The 17,817-nt window shown below is 38.5% G+C and overlaps 2 protein-coding genes across 3 annotated transcripts in view, besides 3 other annotated features; one reads left to right on the top strand and one right to left on the bottom strand.

Moving 5' to 3' along the window:
* Positions 1–3,962, bottom strand: part of SCIN (scinderin) — an 89,463-nt gene extending 85,501 nt beyond the window's left edge. For both annotated transcript variants that reach the window (NR_156701.2, NM_001112706.3), the window contains exon 1: positions 3,697–3,962. Coding sequence is in view for 1 of the 2 variants with exons in the window: in NM_001112706.3 (NP_001106177.1) it covers positions 3,697–3,895 (199 nt within the window). In the remaining variant the exon portion in view is untranslated. The remainder of the gene's footprint in view (positions 1–3,696) is intronic.
* LOC107986768 (uncharacterized) overlaps positions 1–10,789 on the top strand; it is a 31,315-nt gene extending 20,526 nt beyond the window's left edge. Inside the window, exon 3 of the transcript XR_007060635.1 lies at positions 3,301–10,789. The gene's annotated coding sequence lies outside the window, so the exon portion shown is untranslated. The remainder of the gene's footprint in view (positions 1–3,300) is intronic.
* Positions 7,394–7,443: an enhancer, noted in NCBI's record as "active region_25665". NCBI's record gives its function as "activates an Ori minimal core promoter by ATAC-STARR-seq in GM12878 lymphoblastoid cells {active_cell/tissue: GM12878}" and the evidence as "EXISTENCE:reporter gene assay evidence [ECO:0000049][PMID:35858748]".
* Positions 16,289–17,488: an enhancer, noted in NCBI's record as "BRD4-independent group 4 enhancer chr7:12596820-12598019 (GRCh37/hg19 assembly coordinates)". NCBI's record gives its function as "activates an origin of replication core promoter dependent on BRD2, P300/CBP, MED14 and CDK7 cofactors, and independent of BRD4, by STARR-seq in HCT116 cells {active_cell/tissue: HCT116}" and the evidence as "EXISTENCE:reporter gene assay evidence [ECO:0000049][PMID:35650434]".
* Positions 16,302–16,996: an enhancer, noted in NCBI's record as "H3K27ac hESC enhancer chr7:12597312-12598006 (GRCh37/hg19 assembly coordinates)". NCBI's record gives its function as "activates a minimal SCP1, AML or CMV promoter by ChIP-STARR-seq in primed H9 embryonic stem cells {active_cell/tissue: H9 hESC(primed)}" and the evidence as "EXISTENCE:reporter gene assay evidence [ECO:0000049][PMID:30033119]".

The raw sequence follows: 17,817 nt of genomic DNA, 5'->3' as shown, positions 1-17,817 counted from the left end.
TTTCCCCCAGTAGTGGCAACTTTGTAAAATTACAGTATAGCTTAACATATTAATGTATAGTACAGTATAGCACTGAACACCACAACCAGGATATTGGCATTGATATAATCCACCTATTTTATTCGTATTTTCTCAGTTTTACTTGTACTCGTGTGTGTGTGCATTTAGTTCTATAAAATTTTATCACATGTGTAAATTCATACATCTGCTATCACAATCAAGATGCTGTATAGTTCCACCAAAAACATCCTTCAAGTTGCCCTTTTATAATACACTCTTCTCCTGCCCACATCATCCCCTCTTCACCCTATCTGTAACCAACGGCAATGCCAAATCTAAAATTTTGTCATTTCAAAAATTTTATATAAATGGGATCATACAGTATAAAGCCTCTTAGGGTTTTTCACTCAGCATGATTCCCTGGAGCTTCATCCAAGTTGTTGTATGTATCAATAGTTTGTTCCTTTTTATTGCTGAGTAGTATTAGTTGGTACAGATGTACAACTTGTTTAACCAGTCACCTGTTGAAAAGCATCTGGGCTGATTCTAGTGTTTGTTTATTCAAATAAAACTGCTGTGGACATTCAGGTACAGGTTTTCATGTGAATACAAAACTTCATTTTTCTGGAATAAATACCTATGAATGCAATTGCTGACTCATATGGTAGTAGTATATTTGGTTTTGTAAGAAACTACTAAACTCTTTTCCAGAGTGCTGTACCATTGCATGTACCCACCCCCATGCTCCAGCAATGTAAATGATCCAGTTTCTAGCCAGTCCTTCGTATAAGTTCTTTGTATCGTATATTGTAATCCAATCCTTTGGATTCCCAGGGCATTGCACAAGGCCTGGTATAGCCCACTTATAACATAAATGTATACTGCTTTAAAATATATTTGTGTGAAGTTTAAAACTGGCAAAGAGAAAGAGTGAGGATAAGTGTTTGTACCTTAGGTTAGGGATGTGACAGGGAGCAGTTTTACTATCTAGACCTACCCATTGATTTGGTGCTATAAGGAACTACAAACAGAGGTGAATGGATGCATTTAAACTGCTAGGTGCAAAGCTGAAATGTTTTTAAAGAAGGGCTAATGCAATAACATTTAAGTTCTTTGCAATAAATTTTTACTTTCATTACATTTAAGCATATGATGTTAATACATTCAAGCATGTAATGTTAATACAATAAAATAATCTGAGATATGCCAAGTGTTATGGAAACACTGAGGGAGAGACCAAGAAAGACGACTCTCCTGCTCTGTTCTCTCTTGTTCTAGGTCCAACTTCTTCCTGTTTCCCCTTTTTGCCTCCCATTTGGCCTGTTTCTTCATTTCTATGCTATGCACCTTTTTTCATCTCAGTTTAACTTTAGTTTCTCTTTCTTCCGGCTGATTTCCTTTAACCAAATGTTCTTTTCCCCTGGAAGTTCAGCTCTCTCTCCTGTGACTTTCTCTCAATCTGTCTCTCTGATGAATCCTCATGGATTCATCCTAATTTAGGTCTTAGACTACACTATTTTGGATGAAATTCTGTTTTCTTAGGGAACTGAAGTAGGAAGAGCTGTTGGGCAATCCCATCTGAAAGTCCTGTTGACTATTTTACTTGAAGCTTTTTTTCTCTCCATAATTCTCTCTTGACACAAGAACACTTCCAAGTACTCTCATTTTTTTTTTCTCTAAAGGCTTCTGTTTCCCAATAACCACAGAAACTTTGTGCTTTCACAGTAATTATCACATTCTACCTGTGTTATATCACTTTTTGTCTTTTTGCACCTTTGAGGTGATGAACTTTTAGAGAAGTTTCATTAATTATTCATATCCACAAGTGCCTTGTACAGTACTGGCCATATTGAATAATTACTGAATGAATTTGCTTGTTATTAACATGTTATTGACTTCAGTTTTAGCATGTCTTTAAGATTATAAATGTTTCTGCCCAAACCATTTTCTATTATATTTTTGAAATTTATGGGCATCAAGTGGATAATTAAGTAGATAATTAAGTGAATAAGGTGAATCTGTAAACCCTACAAAATATAGTAGTTAAGAGGACAACTTGGATAAAAATGTATAGAATTAAAGAATTGTGTTCAAATCTCCCTTGCGGTCATCTGACAAAGTCAAACTTAACTGCTGTCTACAGTAAGATATGGCATTATTTCACATTTTAATTTACTCAAATGGCAAATGTGGCATTTCAAACACTTTCATTCATGCTAGATTTAAGTTCTGCATGGAAAGTCCTCTGTAAGGACATCATTATTCTATCTGGCATCATTCATTCTTGAACATGGGTTATAAAAGTTTCAGTCTTTTCTGGCAGAAAATACAAATAGATGACTGTGTATTACAACATTATAATAGGAATAACAGCAATGCATCAAGAAGCCAAAATGTGTTCAGAACTCAGGCTGAGCCTTCTCTGCCTCCTCAAGCTAACACAAATTTTTGACTCCAAATGTTATAATTAAAAGTCTTATCTTCATCTACGTATTTTTCATTTCTCATTTCTCAAATGCCTGTTCCAGGTGTTTGCCAATGTTTAGACAGTCACTACTCAATGTTTTCTATTATTTTGTTTCTTAAAATCTTCAAATGTTGGAAATTACAGTGTTGGCTTTCAGGGACTCAAAAATGTGTAAGTGTGTGTGGTTTTGTGTGTTTTCCTCCTAAGCTCAGGGATAAAACTAAACAAACACGAGTACTGGGCAGGCTAGCTAGTTTTAAAAGAAGGCAAAAAGGCTCAGAGAATCGGCATGTTGTTAGACAGGGTGTGCCCACTGGCACAAGACCTCCTGGGGAGAGGCTGGACATTCAGGATGTTTATGAGTAAAAGTAGAAGGTGGAAAAAGAACACACAAGGCCCAGTGTCCTGACAGCCTGGCACGAACGCAGCTCAAAATAATTACTACTGCTGAAGGAGCCGTTTCTGTTCCATCTTGTGTCCTTGCTAAAATAAATAATAAATAATAACAATAAAGCAGTCTACATAAATATATGAAATACCCATATAGAGCTATTTATTTGTATATAAAATATCTGTATTTTTTTCTTACTTCTATCTGAGGACGCCAGCTTCCGAATGAAGCGGAGTTTTTGTCTACCAGACCCACAAGCAGCATGGTGCGGGTAGAATCCTGTTTTAAAGAAGCCCAGAACAATAATTCCCGCAATCATAGAGAAAATAAGCCAGTGCCCGAAAGCAACAAATAAAAATAATGTGTGAAGAAAAAGAAAAGGACTTCTTCCTAGCGGCGGCAGATGCCCCCAGACTTTATGACTTCCTCTCCATCCCGACAGGGAAAGCAGGACTGAGTTTGTCGGAAGGTGAGCGGGGCTTGGCCAGAGACGGTGTGCGCTGAGGCAGCGGCCCTGGACAAGAGTGGCGTTTGGATACTTGACGGTGAAAGGGGAAGAAGCCAGTCACCAGCTCCAAAGTCCAGGAACTACACCTGGCAAAGGTCAAAGCCTGCGAGGTAAGTCAATTGCGGACAACGCCTGAGCCCCGCGTTTGCAGCCGGCGAGTTGACTTCGGTAGGGAGAAAGTGGCCGGCCCCAAAGGGCAGCCCCGTGGGGGCGCGAGTGGCTAGCTCAGTTTGCGGTCCCCTTTACTCCCACGCCTGCAAATCTCAGACCCCTACGCCCTCCCCTCGCCGGCCTTGGTGCGTCGGGGTCCCGCCGCCCGCCGTCCCTTACCGAGCCAGAAGTGCAGGTGGTAGGTGAAGCCTCGGCTCGTCTTGGCCGTGTGCAGCACCAGGTAGGCATCCCCGACGTAGAAGTCGCCGTGAGCGCTCTGGGGCACGGGCACCAGCTCCAGCTTCTCAATCCTCCAGACCTGCAGCCCCGCCTGCTTGCCCGCCCGGGCGAACTCTTCGTGGTATAGCTCCCGCGCCATGGCTCCTGCACGCGATGCTCCGGGGGACGCGTGATATCGCTGATCTTGGACTAAACCGAGAGCAGCAGGAGGAACCTTATTCGCCGCCACTTTATAGTGTTTGCCATCCGGGGAGGCGGCGCCCTGAAACGGGAGGGGCTAAGTGCCCAGGCGCGAGTTGACAGAGGAGACGATCGCTTCCCACGGGGAGCGCAGCGCTGGCTTCCAAGCTCCCACGCCTTGCCCCAGGCCAGGAGCGGAATCGGCGTCCCAGAAGTCTTGAGATTCAGAGGGAGTTTATAGTAACTCGTGCCAATGCCTCCTCCAAGGAAAGACATTTTCTCTAGCAATAGACGAAGAACATTAACGGTTAAAACTGCTTGGCACTCCTTTGTGCATACCCATCACTACCGTCCTGCATATTTCCCCTTCTCTCGCTAATCCTCTTATTTCTGGATCTCAGTTGTGCCTGGCAGGAGGGGTGAGGTGAGGAAAGAGCGCGCCAGCCCTGCAGAGTTGAGTCAGCGTTTACTCGGGTGGAGCAATACCTGTTCTTTCTGGCCCTCTAGAATAATTCTTAGAACAAGGCTTCCTCTGCTAATAGCAACACCTGCCGTTAGGCAGCAGAGGAGTGTGCCACATTAGCATGCTGGAATAATTTTAATACATCCTTCTTTAAAAAATGGGCTTTTTGAGTAACAAGCATCCTAATGATCAATTCTGTCATTTCATTGGGCAATCTCTGCATTCCTGACGACCAAAGTTTCTGTCTCGATCTTCCAGTTTGAAAATACCATGAAAAACAGCATGTCAGATTTCTTGGACAGGAAGAAAACCTGGAAGAATGGCAGTATTACCCCAGGTGACAGAGCTCTGTAAATCTCAGAGTTCAGGAGCTGTGGTTGAGCTCTCTTAACACCTGCTTCCTTTGGCCAAGAAAGATGAAAACAACAACAAAAACCCAGCAGCCGCCGTCCTGAGATGTTCTCTGCAGGGCTGTTTGTGGCTGTAATTTTATGCTTGGCCGGACTTCTGGGTTACCTGTTACCTAGCTTCAAGGTGATAATTTTCTTTGTTTTACCTACAGGTTTTGCTTTTGCAGCATGGCTAAAACACTATGGAATACAGATGGAAATTTTACTCTTGATTTGGCATTCATTTAACAAGCTGGTATAGCAAAGGATTCTGTTACTGAAAAAGGCAAATCACTCAGGATGTATAGAGTAAGAAAGCTGAATTTCATGCATGTAAAATTGTTTTCATTCAATTTCTCAAATTACATGAATCCCTGGAAGGTCAATAATAATGCAAAATTAGATTTTTTTCCTTAATTAAATTATGTTTTTAATAGGTTATTACATGACCATGGTAAAAAAATTAAAAGTACAAAATGTGTGCAATAAAAAATTATCTCCATTTCACCCTGCCACCCAGTTGCTTTCCCCAAAGGCAATTACGTTACCAGTTTCTTATGTATTTTTCCAGGCACTCAAATTTTGTCAACAAGAATATAGGTAATGTAGTTATTTTAAATTTTTAACAGAAAATGTAACATATAACCTTTTCGAATCCCCCCCCGTGTGTGTGTGTGTGTGTGTGTGTGTGTGTGTGTGTGTGTGTGTGTCTGTGTATCAACACACAGTACTCATAGAGCTACCGGTTTTTACTGACCATATGGTATTCCACTTTATAAACATACTAATTTATTTTGTCTATCTCAGTTCATAGTGTAGGGGCCAAGGGAAAACTTCCCCTCTACCCTCTGAAGTTTCACTGAAAAATCAAGTCACAAAAGGCAGATTAACAGGACAAATGGCATACAAATTTATCAGCGGGCATGGGGGAGAATCACAGAGTGATTGGCCAATATCCCAATGAGGTACAGAGGGTTGTACCTCCTTATTAGAGGAAAGGCAGATGGGTGATGTATGGGTGATTTGGGGGGTTAGAAAATGATTTTTAGGGGAATTCAATGTGTTTGAAGAACATACAGTGGCCTGAGACAAAGTATGTTAAGCCTGCAGAGCTCTCCGTGTGTGTTGACAGACTTCAGTCTTTCTTTCTGCAATATGAGTTCAGTTTGTGGAAAGTCAGGGAAGAGACCAGAGGTAACTGTTTTCTTCTTTGGCAAGTCGAGACTTTAGGCAGATAAGGGAACTTCAGAGAATACCTTCATTCTGTGCTTTGGGAAAGAGAGGATTGGTGAAGGAAGGTCAAAGAAAACTTAAGCCTTCTTCATTTCAGCATGTCAAAGTGTCACATTTTGTGGTATTGGTTTCTGAGCCCCAACACTAGGCATTTAAATTTTGTGTATATTTTGCCAATACAGTGTTACAAATAGCATATTGAACATACTTTATTATGCATTCGCAGTATTATAATTGAGATAAAACCCTGGAAATATAATTGGTTGGGATTAAATAGCTTTTATGTAGTGACGATAATTATGAAACCAATTACTACCACTTACTGATCTTTGACAATAACAGGCTATAGTACACATTACCTTGATTCAATTCCTGCTTTCATCCTTAGTTCTGAGACTTTCAGGAAGTTACTTAACTACACACAGCCAGCCTCATGTTCCTCATCTCTAAAATGGGAAAATAATAATATTTGCCTTATAAGATTATTTGGTTTAAATGAGTCGACACATATAAGGTATTTGTGTCTGTTACACAGAAAACACTCAATAATTAGGAACAATTTTTATGTGGTGGTGAGCTTCCTTTTGCTCCTTTAGATATCTTCTCTATCCTGCACCCTTCCACCTTCCCTTGAGGTTGATCTACAAGAGCTAAATCAAGTGGGCTCTGATGTCCTCTGGCTTGAGGCTTGGTTGGAGACCAGAGGGAGAAAAGAGAGTGAGGCTGGAGTATTTATTTCCTTGGCTCCTTCAGCAAAAAGTCACTGTTCTTTTAAAGGCGAATAACTGTGTCTGACTTTTTGTCTCCTGTTGGGTTATAGCAACTCTCCCCTCACATGTTTTATTCCTTTTGTTTTCTCTGCCTCTGTTCTTTTGTATATAGCTTCCTAAAAATCTCCTGGAATTTTCCTATTTTGCATGCATGCTCTGTTGTAAGTTGAGATCCTGATGGATAAATTTTATTAGCTACATTCTTTTTTTGTCTCCTGACCAAAACAGTGAGAGGTGGATATGAAGCCTCATTTTATTGATGAGGGAACTGAAGCTTTGGAGTTTGCCGTAGGTCAGTCACCCAGCTGATGAGTAGCCAAAGGGAATTCAAGTTCTCTCTCTCATTCAAAAGTACTTGCTCTTCCCAAAAACGTATTCTTTCAATCTAAATTATTTGGCCAGGTGTTTTTCCCTGAAGCATACTTTATAATTTTATTTTCTTCAAGGTTGTATCTAGAGAAGCTTCTGATCTAGTATGTCCCATGCAGCACTAAGAAACTTAGTTTTAACTTTGAGCCATTAGGTCTCAGTTTCCTTATCTGTAGACTGAAATCATGTGTTCTCTTCCTCCTGACGAAAAAAAATATAAGAACTGGTGCTCTAGACTTAAGATAATTTAAAAACCAGAGGTGTCTCAATTTCAGTTTCAATTTCAGTGATCATTTCTTTGTTGAAGAAATAAAAAGAAGCTTTGGCATAGATGAAAGTGAAATTCCCTCTAGGTTAGGCCAGAGCTAGTGTGAGGCAAGTAAGACAGATGCCTAGGATGTAAAAGTTAAAGAGGCACAAAAAACAACAACAAAGTAGCATTCAAGATAAATACTATTTTAAGGTGATATTTTAAAGCTCAAAATTAATGCAAAATATCATGATATAACATTTCAAATAGAGACAGGATTGTTAATAGTGCTGTACAGGCTGAGACAAAGGAAAAGTACTGATCCTTCCACTACTTAAAACTTTGGGCTGGGCGCGGTGGCTCACCTGTAATCCCAGAACTTTGGGAGGCCGAGGTGGGCGGATCACGAGGTCAGGAGACCGAGACCATCCTGATTAACACGATGAAGCCCCGTCTCTACTAAAAATACAAAAAATGAGCTAGTTGTGGTGGCAGGCGCCTGTAGTCCCAGCTACTCGGGAGGCTGAGGCAGGAGAATGGTATGAACCCAGGAGACAGAGCTTGCAGTGAGCCGAGATCACGCCACTGCACTCCAGCCTGGGCGACAGAGCGAGACTCCGTCTCAAAAAAACAAAACAAAACAAAACAAAACAAAACAAACAAAAAAACCACTTTGATAGTTAATAGTTTTGGCATTTTGATATTTAAAAAAGTGCTGCATTGAAATACCATTTTATATACTAAAATACTTGATTTATTTTTTTCTTTTTTTTCGTCCTATTAATTTTGTGCATGAGGCAAGTGCCTCACTCTCCTGACCCTAGTCCTCTCCTGGCTAAGTGAGCTCCAGATCTAAACTTCCAACTCCCTGATAGATATAGCTACCTGATTGGTCCTGCTGAGGTCAGGTTCAACATACTCACAACAATCTTATCGTTTTATCCAAACATACTTCTATTTTTTTCTAATTTCACTAACAGCATCATTTAATTTTGACCTAACACTCTCTATCTCCATATTCAATCAACAACCCAATCCATCCCTAGTAGCCTACTCTCTTGCTCCTCCTCTGATCTTCAGTAGAGACATGCAGTGAAAGTTAAGCGGCCTAACTTAAAATATGGCTTTGACCTAGGTTGAATCCTTGTTCTCCCCCATTTCAGCTCACTGAGCTGGGGCAAGTTACTAAACATTATGTGTCTCAGTTTTCTCATCTGTGGAATGGGGATACTGACAGAAATTTCCTTGTAGAATTGTCATGAGGATTAAATGGATAAATACATATAAACCTGGAAAAGTACCTGGTACATAGGAAGTGGCAGTAAACTCCACTGAGACTAACAAGTGATTAATTCATTTCTCCAAATTCAATCTTCAACGAATAATGTTTCCAGAGTCCAGATAAGGACTGCCCATTTTCTACACAAAAAAATCGTCTCCAAAACCAAGTGCCAGTTTCCTTTCCAGGCCTTTATTTTCTCTTCCTCTCTCATACCCTAGTTTCCTAAAAGTAAATAATTTCCTTCCATTTGTGTTATTGCCCTTCTTCCATATCTGTCTGTTAAAGTTCCTAATTCTTTAAAGTCTGCTTCCTTAGGGTCATGATTCCCCCGGATCCATTAAACTCCAGCATCCTCTGTGCTCCCAGCACTCCAGATCTGCTTACATCATAGCAGCTCCCACACTCTGAAGTGTGTTTTCTCTCTCAAGTTTGAAGGTTCACTTAGAGATTCATGACTCATTATTTGATTCCCTGGCTTTATGGTAATACATGCTGACTAGATATGATTGAATTGTTTGTTTTACATTAAATTACATTTATATTTTCATCAATTTACAAACCTGAGTCCAAGGAGAAACACCCAATGTGAATAAGTCTTTACCAAGAGTCAGGAGGTTTGAGGTTTGGGGCCAATGTGATTGGACTCAAGGTAAGTGTTCTAGAATATTAATACCTAGAGGGGAATGTTGCATATGTTATTCTTCTGAATAAAAAACAATGTCAAATAATATAATTGATGTATTGTGCAATTCACTAAAATGGGTTGGGAAAAATGAATCAGCTTCAAGCGATCTTCATTCCTCAGGGATAGAATCTCAGAGTTGAGAGACATTTTATTTATATCATTGCATCGTGATCCCAGAATTGTTGAAACTAAACATACGAAAGACAGGGACTGCACTTTTTTTTCCCCCAGGAGAGGTAAATGCTTTGAATGTGCTATTTATTTGCTTTCTTTTTGTTATGTAAATAATGAAATAATGTAATTAAAAATACATTTCTTTTAGTGGTAGTCCTGCTAAATTGTAATAACTTAACGTTTGTTTTACCAAATTATTTGAGGGTATAAGCATGGAACCTGGAATCAGGGGACCTGAGCATTGTGAGGATTAAAAGAGATTATGTATGTCAAAGCCCTAAGCACACAATCAACAAAGTCAGTTGATAATCAGCAAGCACCCTTTTTCCCAGTACCTATCAAAGCTTCACTTAGAAGTGAAAATACATTCCAGGGAAGTGTATTTTTATCCTTTTGACTCATTCTAAACAAACTAGAGCTTAAGAAAAAAAAGCACTCTTTTTTTTTTTTTTTTTTTGAGACGGAGTCTCGCTCTGTCACCCAGGCTGGAGTGCAGTGGCGCGATCTCGGCTCACTACAAGCTCCGCCTCCCAGGTTCACGCCATTCTCCTGCCTCAGCCTCCCGAGTAGCTGGGACTACAGGCGCCTGCCACCATGCCCGGCTAATTTTTTGTATTTTTTAGTGGAGACAGGGTTTCACCATGTTAGCCAGGATGGTCTTGATCTCCTGACCTTGTGATTTGCCTGCCTCGGCCTCCCAAAGTGCTGGGATTACAGGTATGAGCCACCGCGCCTGGCCCAAAAAAGCATTCATTTAAAAAAAAGCTTCAATCAGGATTTTGGACCTTCCCTTTCATAAGTCAATTATTTTTAAACTACACATAACACTATAACTATAAAGTAATACTGAGCCATGAACTATCATAGTCCAAGGTTCAGTACTAAAGTGAAGGTTTTATTGCTGTTGAATGTCTGCTGGTGTGATATATGGTCCATTTTTGTAAACCTACTTACTACAGCAGGTCATAGTTGGTTGATTTGACATTTCTTCTGAATACTGTCATGCAGTATTTTATTATGAAAGCAATTTCTAACCCATGTTTGATTATTTACAGAAGACATTATCATTACTTTAGAAGTTTATACATTGAAGAATGCTTATGACCAAAAGAAAGGTTGAGGATGAAAGTTTATGAAAATTTATGATTTAAATGTATTTTTTTCCTTTAAAATTATATTTGTATAAATGGAGATCATATCGTCTAAAATATAATAAAATTGAGGCTAATGGTGTTTGAGCCTGTGTCATCTTTTTTGCTTGATTTTTCTAAATGTCTCTATTTTACTAATAATCACAATTAACAATTTATTCTGTTTTGCTTGCTTATTTGTAGCCCTGGCATTACCACTTTGTGAGAAATAACTTCAGATTTTCAAGGACTAAGTCAACAATACTTGAATGCTAGAACTGTGTAACCATAGAAAATGATGGAAATCAGATATGATCAGATTATCATTTTGTTGTAAAGATACTTACAAAAATAAGGTTAATTAATTCATTTAAACCAAACAGAAGGTTGTTTTTAAAAGTTAAAGCTTGAAGATTATTTTCTGCTAGCCAGAAATAACTTCCTTCAGCCAATTCTCTTTTTATCACAACCTCCCTTTATATGAGTTGAAATTATGCAATTTGACTGTAACTCCTTTTACTCTTGATATCTTGAGGCTTGCTTGAAATCACAGGCTTCTATGGAGTAAGCAAACTGACTGAAAGGATTTCCGAAGATACTTTATTTTACATACTTCAGAGAACAGTGTCTTTTGAGGCTGGCAAAGGGAGCCTCATTAACTCCGTATCTACCCAGTTCCTCTCCTGAAATGACAGCATTTTAAAATAAACAGCTTAACAAGTATTCCCTGGACAGCTGGTACTCACACTTCTAGCTGAGGCCTACTAAAGAAAGATGGAGAGCAATTTGCTTCACCCAGGAAGTCTTAGGGCATTGGGATACTTGGGGCAGTAAACATGAGGGAGAATTCTTTTTGTTTTCCCACCATTTCTTTATCTCAGTACCTACATGGCATTTTTTTCTGATTGCTGTGGTTACACATGTTTACTGAAGACAATTTTGAAAATACCAATTACAAATGAGATTAAAATTATCCCTAATCATACAACCTAGGGATATGCTCTGATAACGTTTTACACAAAATTAAGATCATGATATAATACTGTACATTTCCATTTATAATTTGTTTAGGACTCATACTACACATATCTTTTCTTTGAGTGGTTGGGGTTAAAAGCAGAATTCCCGAAAGTTCCATCCTTCCATTTGGGAAACCCTGACTTGTTAGGCACAGAAATACTCCATGTCATTGTAGCATCACTCAATTGTATAATTTTGACATTTATTTTTATGTGAAAATTATAGAACAATTACACTCATCCATAATCATGTCTTTCTTGCTCGCTCTCTATTTTAACAAGTATTATGTTATTTAAGAAGTTCAGTGCCCTTGGCCCGGCACTGTGGCTCACGCTTGTAATCCCAGCACTTTGGGAGACCAAGGCGGGCAGATCACGGGGTCAGGAGATCGAGATTATCCTGGCCAACACGGTGAAACCCCGTCTCTATTAAAAATACAAAAAATTAGCCGGGCGTGGTGGTGAGCGCCTGTAGTCTCAGCTACTCAGGAGGCTGAGGCAGGAGAGTGGCTTTAACCCGGGAGGCGGAGCTTGCAGTGAGCCAAGATCGCGCCACTGCACTCTAGCCTGGGCGACAGAGCAAGACTCCATCTCAAAAAAAAAAAAAAAAAATAGAAGTCAGTGCCCATCATTGACTCCTAAAATGCCATCTTTTGGAGGTTATATCATTTTAACAATTTGATATCCCTTTCAAATTGCTGAGTTGATAGACATGCCTATGCATTATCTTTCTGTCTGTCTGCCTATCTCTGTTCCTCTATTCAACCATTTCTGTTCCTCCATCCATTTCTCTCTGTATTAGTGGTTAAGAGCACAGGCTCTGGAACTAGCTGTCCTGAGTTCAGTTTCCTGTTCTGCGATTTCTAGCAATGCTGTGGCAAGTTACTTTGCACCTCTATTTTATGATCTCTAAAATGGGAGTACTATGTGATAGGATTGTTATGAAGGTGAAATGAGTTAACACAAATAAAGTTCTTGAAATAGTTCTTACCAGCTAGTAAAATGCTCAGTAAAGGCACATTACAGTTATTCATACATAAACACACATACACATCTACCCACAGGTACTTCAGCCAAACTGGAATGCATATCAGCATCCAGCTACCTTTCATTTAAACAAAATCGTATTAATAGATTATGAACATTCTTTCAGGTAAGTATGTATGGATTTACCTCATTAAAAATAATGGCTTTGCATTCCATTGCATTAAGTAATATGCAATTTCCTTCTTTTGGTACTTTTAGATGCTTTACATGCATAAATTCAAATAATACATTAATAACCTTCCATACATCTTTCTTTGTGTACACGTTACTATTTCTGTAAGACAGATTTCTAAAAGTGGAATTTCTAGGCCAAATGATTTACACTTTTTTTGTTTGTTTGTTTTTTTGTTTTTTTGAGACGGAGTCTTGCTCTGTCACCCAGACTGAGGTGCAGTGGCACTATCTCGGCTCATTGCAACCTCCGCCTCCCAGGTTCAGGCGATTCTCCTGCCTTAGCTTCCTGAATAGCTGGGACTACGGGTGCGTGCCACCAACCCTGGCTTATTTGTGTATTTATTTATGTATTTATTTTGAGACAGAGTCTCGCTCTGTCACCCAGGCTAGAACGCAGTGGCGTGATCTCGGCTCACTGCAAGCTCCGCCTCCCGGGTTAATGCCGTTGTCCTGCCTCAGCCTCCTGAGTAGCTGGGACTACAGGCGCTCGCCACCACGCCCGGCTAATTTTTTATATTTTTAGTAGAGATGGGGCTTCTCCGTGTTAGCCAGGATGGTCTGGATCTCCTGACCTCGTGATCTGCCCACCTCGGCCTCCCAAAGGGCTGGGATTACAGGAGTGAGCCACTGCGCCTGGCCTTGCCTGGCTAATTTTTTGTATTTTTAGTAGAGACTGGGTTTCGCCGGTTTTACTCATTTTTTTTTAAAGGTTTAAGGATATCACCAAATTATATTTTCTAAGTCAGTGGACAAAAATGACCATTTCCCTTATCTTAGTACTAAATTCTAACAATTTTTCATTAAAAATTCATTTCCAGTCTAATGCATGAAAATTATATCTCATTTTCTTAAAGTTGTATTTCTGTGTTATTAGTGAAATTTAGCATTTTTCTATATATTTGTTACTATTTTTATTTCTTCTGGAAATTTCTTACTATATTATTTGAACATATATCGACTAAACTCATATTTTGTGTTAGTGTGTTAAGTATGCTAATTTTTCCTCTTAGATGGGTTGCAAACATACCATTTATTTTCCTTCTTTGTTTTCTCCTTAGGAAAGCTTTCCTAAGGTGATGTTAAATAACATTCTCATATACTCTATTGCAATAATTTTGAAACTTTGTATTTTTTCCTTAGATCTTTACTTCATCTGAAATATATATTTGTGTTATAACATAATTTAAAGATATAATTTTAATCTAAATTTATAACCACATTTATTAACAAGATTTGTTAAATCATGTATATATACTGATTTGAAAGATATTTATCAAATGTAAAATTTTTGTTTCTTAATCTTCTATTTAATCTACTAACTTATTTATTCATTTATCTGTAGAATGCGTTTTTATATCACACTAATTATTTGTTTCCCTTTAATGTCTGCTATGGCAGGTCTTCAATGCTTTTTTTCTGTCTTAGCAATGCTTAACATATTTTTCCACATAAAATTAAAAATCAATTGAACATTGTGTTTTAGCACTAATTTAATCTACTCTTCTGGGAACATTGTATAATTTTAGCATTTGATCATATCTTGGCTTATAGTGGTCAATAATATTTCAGAATCTTTTAAAGTTCTTATTTCTAGACTTTTCATAAGTAAATATAAGACATTTTTGTTATAATCTAAGCAAGTAAATGTCAATAAATTTGAAATTGAAGAAAAATGAATATAGTTCTAGAAAATGTAAAAATGCCAACATTAATGCAGTAAGAAATATAAAATCTTAAATACATGTTAAATTAACAACATTGTTTTAAAAGCAAAAACTTCCCTCCTACAAAATACAAGGCCCAAAAAGTTTTACATGTGATTCACCTTTACTTCCTATTGTACACTAGTTGATGTAGAAAACACAATTAAAGAAAAGCTGCTAAAATCATTTTGATGAGGCTATTATAGCTACACAACCCAATAAAGGTATTCTAGAAAATATAATTATGGTTCAATTTCATTTATGAATATCAATGCCAATGTCATAAATAAAATTTTCTCCAACCAAGTAAAAAATGTGTTTTGTTTAAAGAAAAAACAGTAGGATTATCCTACTAAAGTAAAAAGTAATAAAAGTCTTCTTTTTCAATATTCTTAGAAAGTTACATAGAAGGGAACTTTATTAATGTAATGGCATAATAATAAATTGCATTAATAACATTAAATAAAAAAACTTTAGAAGGATTTCATCTATGGTTGGCAAAAATGATAGAAAAAAACATTAAGAAATCCACTATCTCACTACTGTTCAAGAGGGTACAGAAGTCTTTGACAATGCAAAGACTGGAAAAAGACATACAAGATATTAAGAATTGCTAGGAAAAATAAAAACTCAATATTTGTAGATGATAATCGTGTAAATAAAAGGTCTAAGAAAATGTACTGACAAATGAAGAGACTTCACAAGAAACTATAGTGATTATCAAACGATTCGAATAATGTAAAATGAAATGTAATAATGTAAAATATAAAAAATGAAATAGAAATTCAAAAGAATCAAAATCTATAAAATTGAGTGTCTTTATGAGTTCAGAGTAGAAAGGGCTTTCTTAAACAAAATCCCAAAACAGCATAAAGTACAAAGGGAAGAATGGATAACTTTGACTACATCAAACTAAAGATGTAACTTCAAAATAAGACAACAAAGATGAAGTTAAATGTTGGCTGACAGACTGTGTAAAAATAAAAATATTTTCTATTAAATAAGTATATCAGGAATATACATATAAACAAAACGAACTCAGCAAGAAGAAATTCAATAAATCTTATGGAACAGTAATTTTGAATATTGATACAGGAACTAGAAAGAAATTATTTAGGCAGATAGTGAGGGTAAGAGAGTCCTCGGTAAGGTTTCTTTTTAATAAAAAGCAGCTTCAGGCCGGGTGTGGTGGCTCACTCTTGTAATTCCACCACTTTGGGAGGCCAAGGCGGGTGGATCCCCTGACGACAGGAGTTCGAGACCAGCCTGACCAACATGGTGAAATCCCGTCTCTATTGAAAATACAAAAATTAGCCAGGCATGTGGTGCACGCCTATAATCCCAGCTACTCGGGAGGCAGAGGCATGAGAATCGCTTGGGAGTCAGAGGTTGCAGTGAGCTGAGATCGTGCCTCTGCCCTCCAGCTTGGGCGACAGAGCAAGACTCCATCTCAAACAAACAACAACAAAAAAGCAGCCCCCAAATCATTTCTTTTCTAACAAAATGCAACCTGAAAAATCACGCTGCAAGCGTAGATAAACAAGCTAAAAGCTTGCATAGGTAAACGCCAGCAGCTGTGCCAATAGGAAAGGAATACCTGGAAACCAGGTATATTCAACATGGAGGTTCCCTCTTCCCTTTTCTTTGCCGCCATGTGTGCAGTAAAAAAGCAGGCAACATGGCACCAGCCAGGTAGAGACCCTATCTGCATAATACAAGATTAGGGTGGGATGGCCAGCTTCTTCCTGTACTATGCAAACAGCACACCTGGTCCAACCAACCTCTCAGGCCCTATGTAAATCAGACATTACCTCCTCAAGCTCGTCTATAAAACCCCCGTGCATTTCACCACAGTACTGGAAGACCCACTCGGGCGCCCCTCTCTCTCTGCAAGAGAGAGAGCTATTCTCTTTTTCTTTTGCCTATTAAACCTACTCTCTTAAATGCACTTTTTGTGTTTCTGTGTCCTCGACTCCCTTGACGTGAGACAACGAACCTCAGTTATTTATCCCAGATGATGCCGATTCAATATGAAGTAATGTGAACGGCCAGTAAAGCATGAAGAGTACTCAGTGCTTGGGTCCTCACTATTAACTGTAGGAGTCACATAGCCAATATTTGAGTGTTTACAATGGCCAGGCTTTACTAAATTCTTTTAAAATATAACTGTTCTGATACCTATAGCAACTTTACGAGCTATGTATTATTATTATCTCATTTTACAGATCAGAAAACAGGTACAGAAAGCTACGTAAGTACTCTACCTACCTAGAATATGAATCTAGGTAAGGTTTCTTTGAGCCTATGTAGCTAATGACTGTGGGATATGATGAGGTTTCTCTTTGAATAGCCTGATTAATCCTTTATTCTTTAATTCACAATACCCCTCCCCCCTTTCTCTTTTTCTCCTCTTTCCTTCCTTTCTGCCTTTGTTACATGCCCAGACATGCCAGAGTACCAGGCATTATCAGTACCAGCTTGCATTCCTTTCCTTATTTGGACAGAAGACTAGTTCTCTAGCTCATTTCAGACACCTCTTCCCCGTTTCCTCTCTCTCTTACGTGCCCACCTTATCTAAAGAAAATTCAAATGTTTAGCCAAACCGGTTAGTTTAGATTGTGCGGCCCAACTCCAGTCAATGGAGAAAGGGTACGGGGGCAGGGTTTGCGTCATGAATAGAGGCTCTCATGCCCCTTTGTTCTGGTGTGCTCTCATGGCGACTGGCCAGGGAGAAGCACCCCTCTGTGCAGAAGTAAAATTGCTTTGCTGAAAATCCTTGGTTTGAGTGTTCAATTTCCTTAGGATTTTGAGCATTATTCCCAACACCACTACAACCACTATGATTCTACTTCTATTACACTATTTTATAGCTATCAGTTTGTTAAACAATTAGAAAGATTAAAAAGTTATATAATATCAAAGGCTGGTGAGGATGTGGGGAAATGAGAAACCTCCTACAATATTGAGAGAGGCAGCTCCAACATGACATAGCCATTTGGAGAGCAATCTGGTAGTATTTACTGAAAACTGTAAGCCCATACTTTGTATTCCCAAATTCCACTCTTGTATTTGTACTTTAGACGTGCTCTTTACAGATGCACAAGGAGACATGTACAATGATGCCTGCCAGAGCATACTGTGTCTATAAGTAAGTTGAAGGCAACCTAGGAGATCAGACATAGGTAAATGTATG

Source organism: Homo sapiens, chromosome 7 (assembly GCF_000001405.40).
Source record: "Homo sapiens chromosome 7, GRCh38.p14 Primary Assembly".
Taxonomy (NCBI): Eukaryota; Metazoa; Chordata; class Mammalia; order Primates; family Hominidae; genus Homo; species Homo sapiens.
The sequence above is the reverse complement of the archived record's forward strand: the minus strand, read 5'-3'. Positions and strand labels throughout refer to the sequence as shown.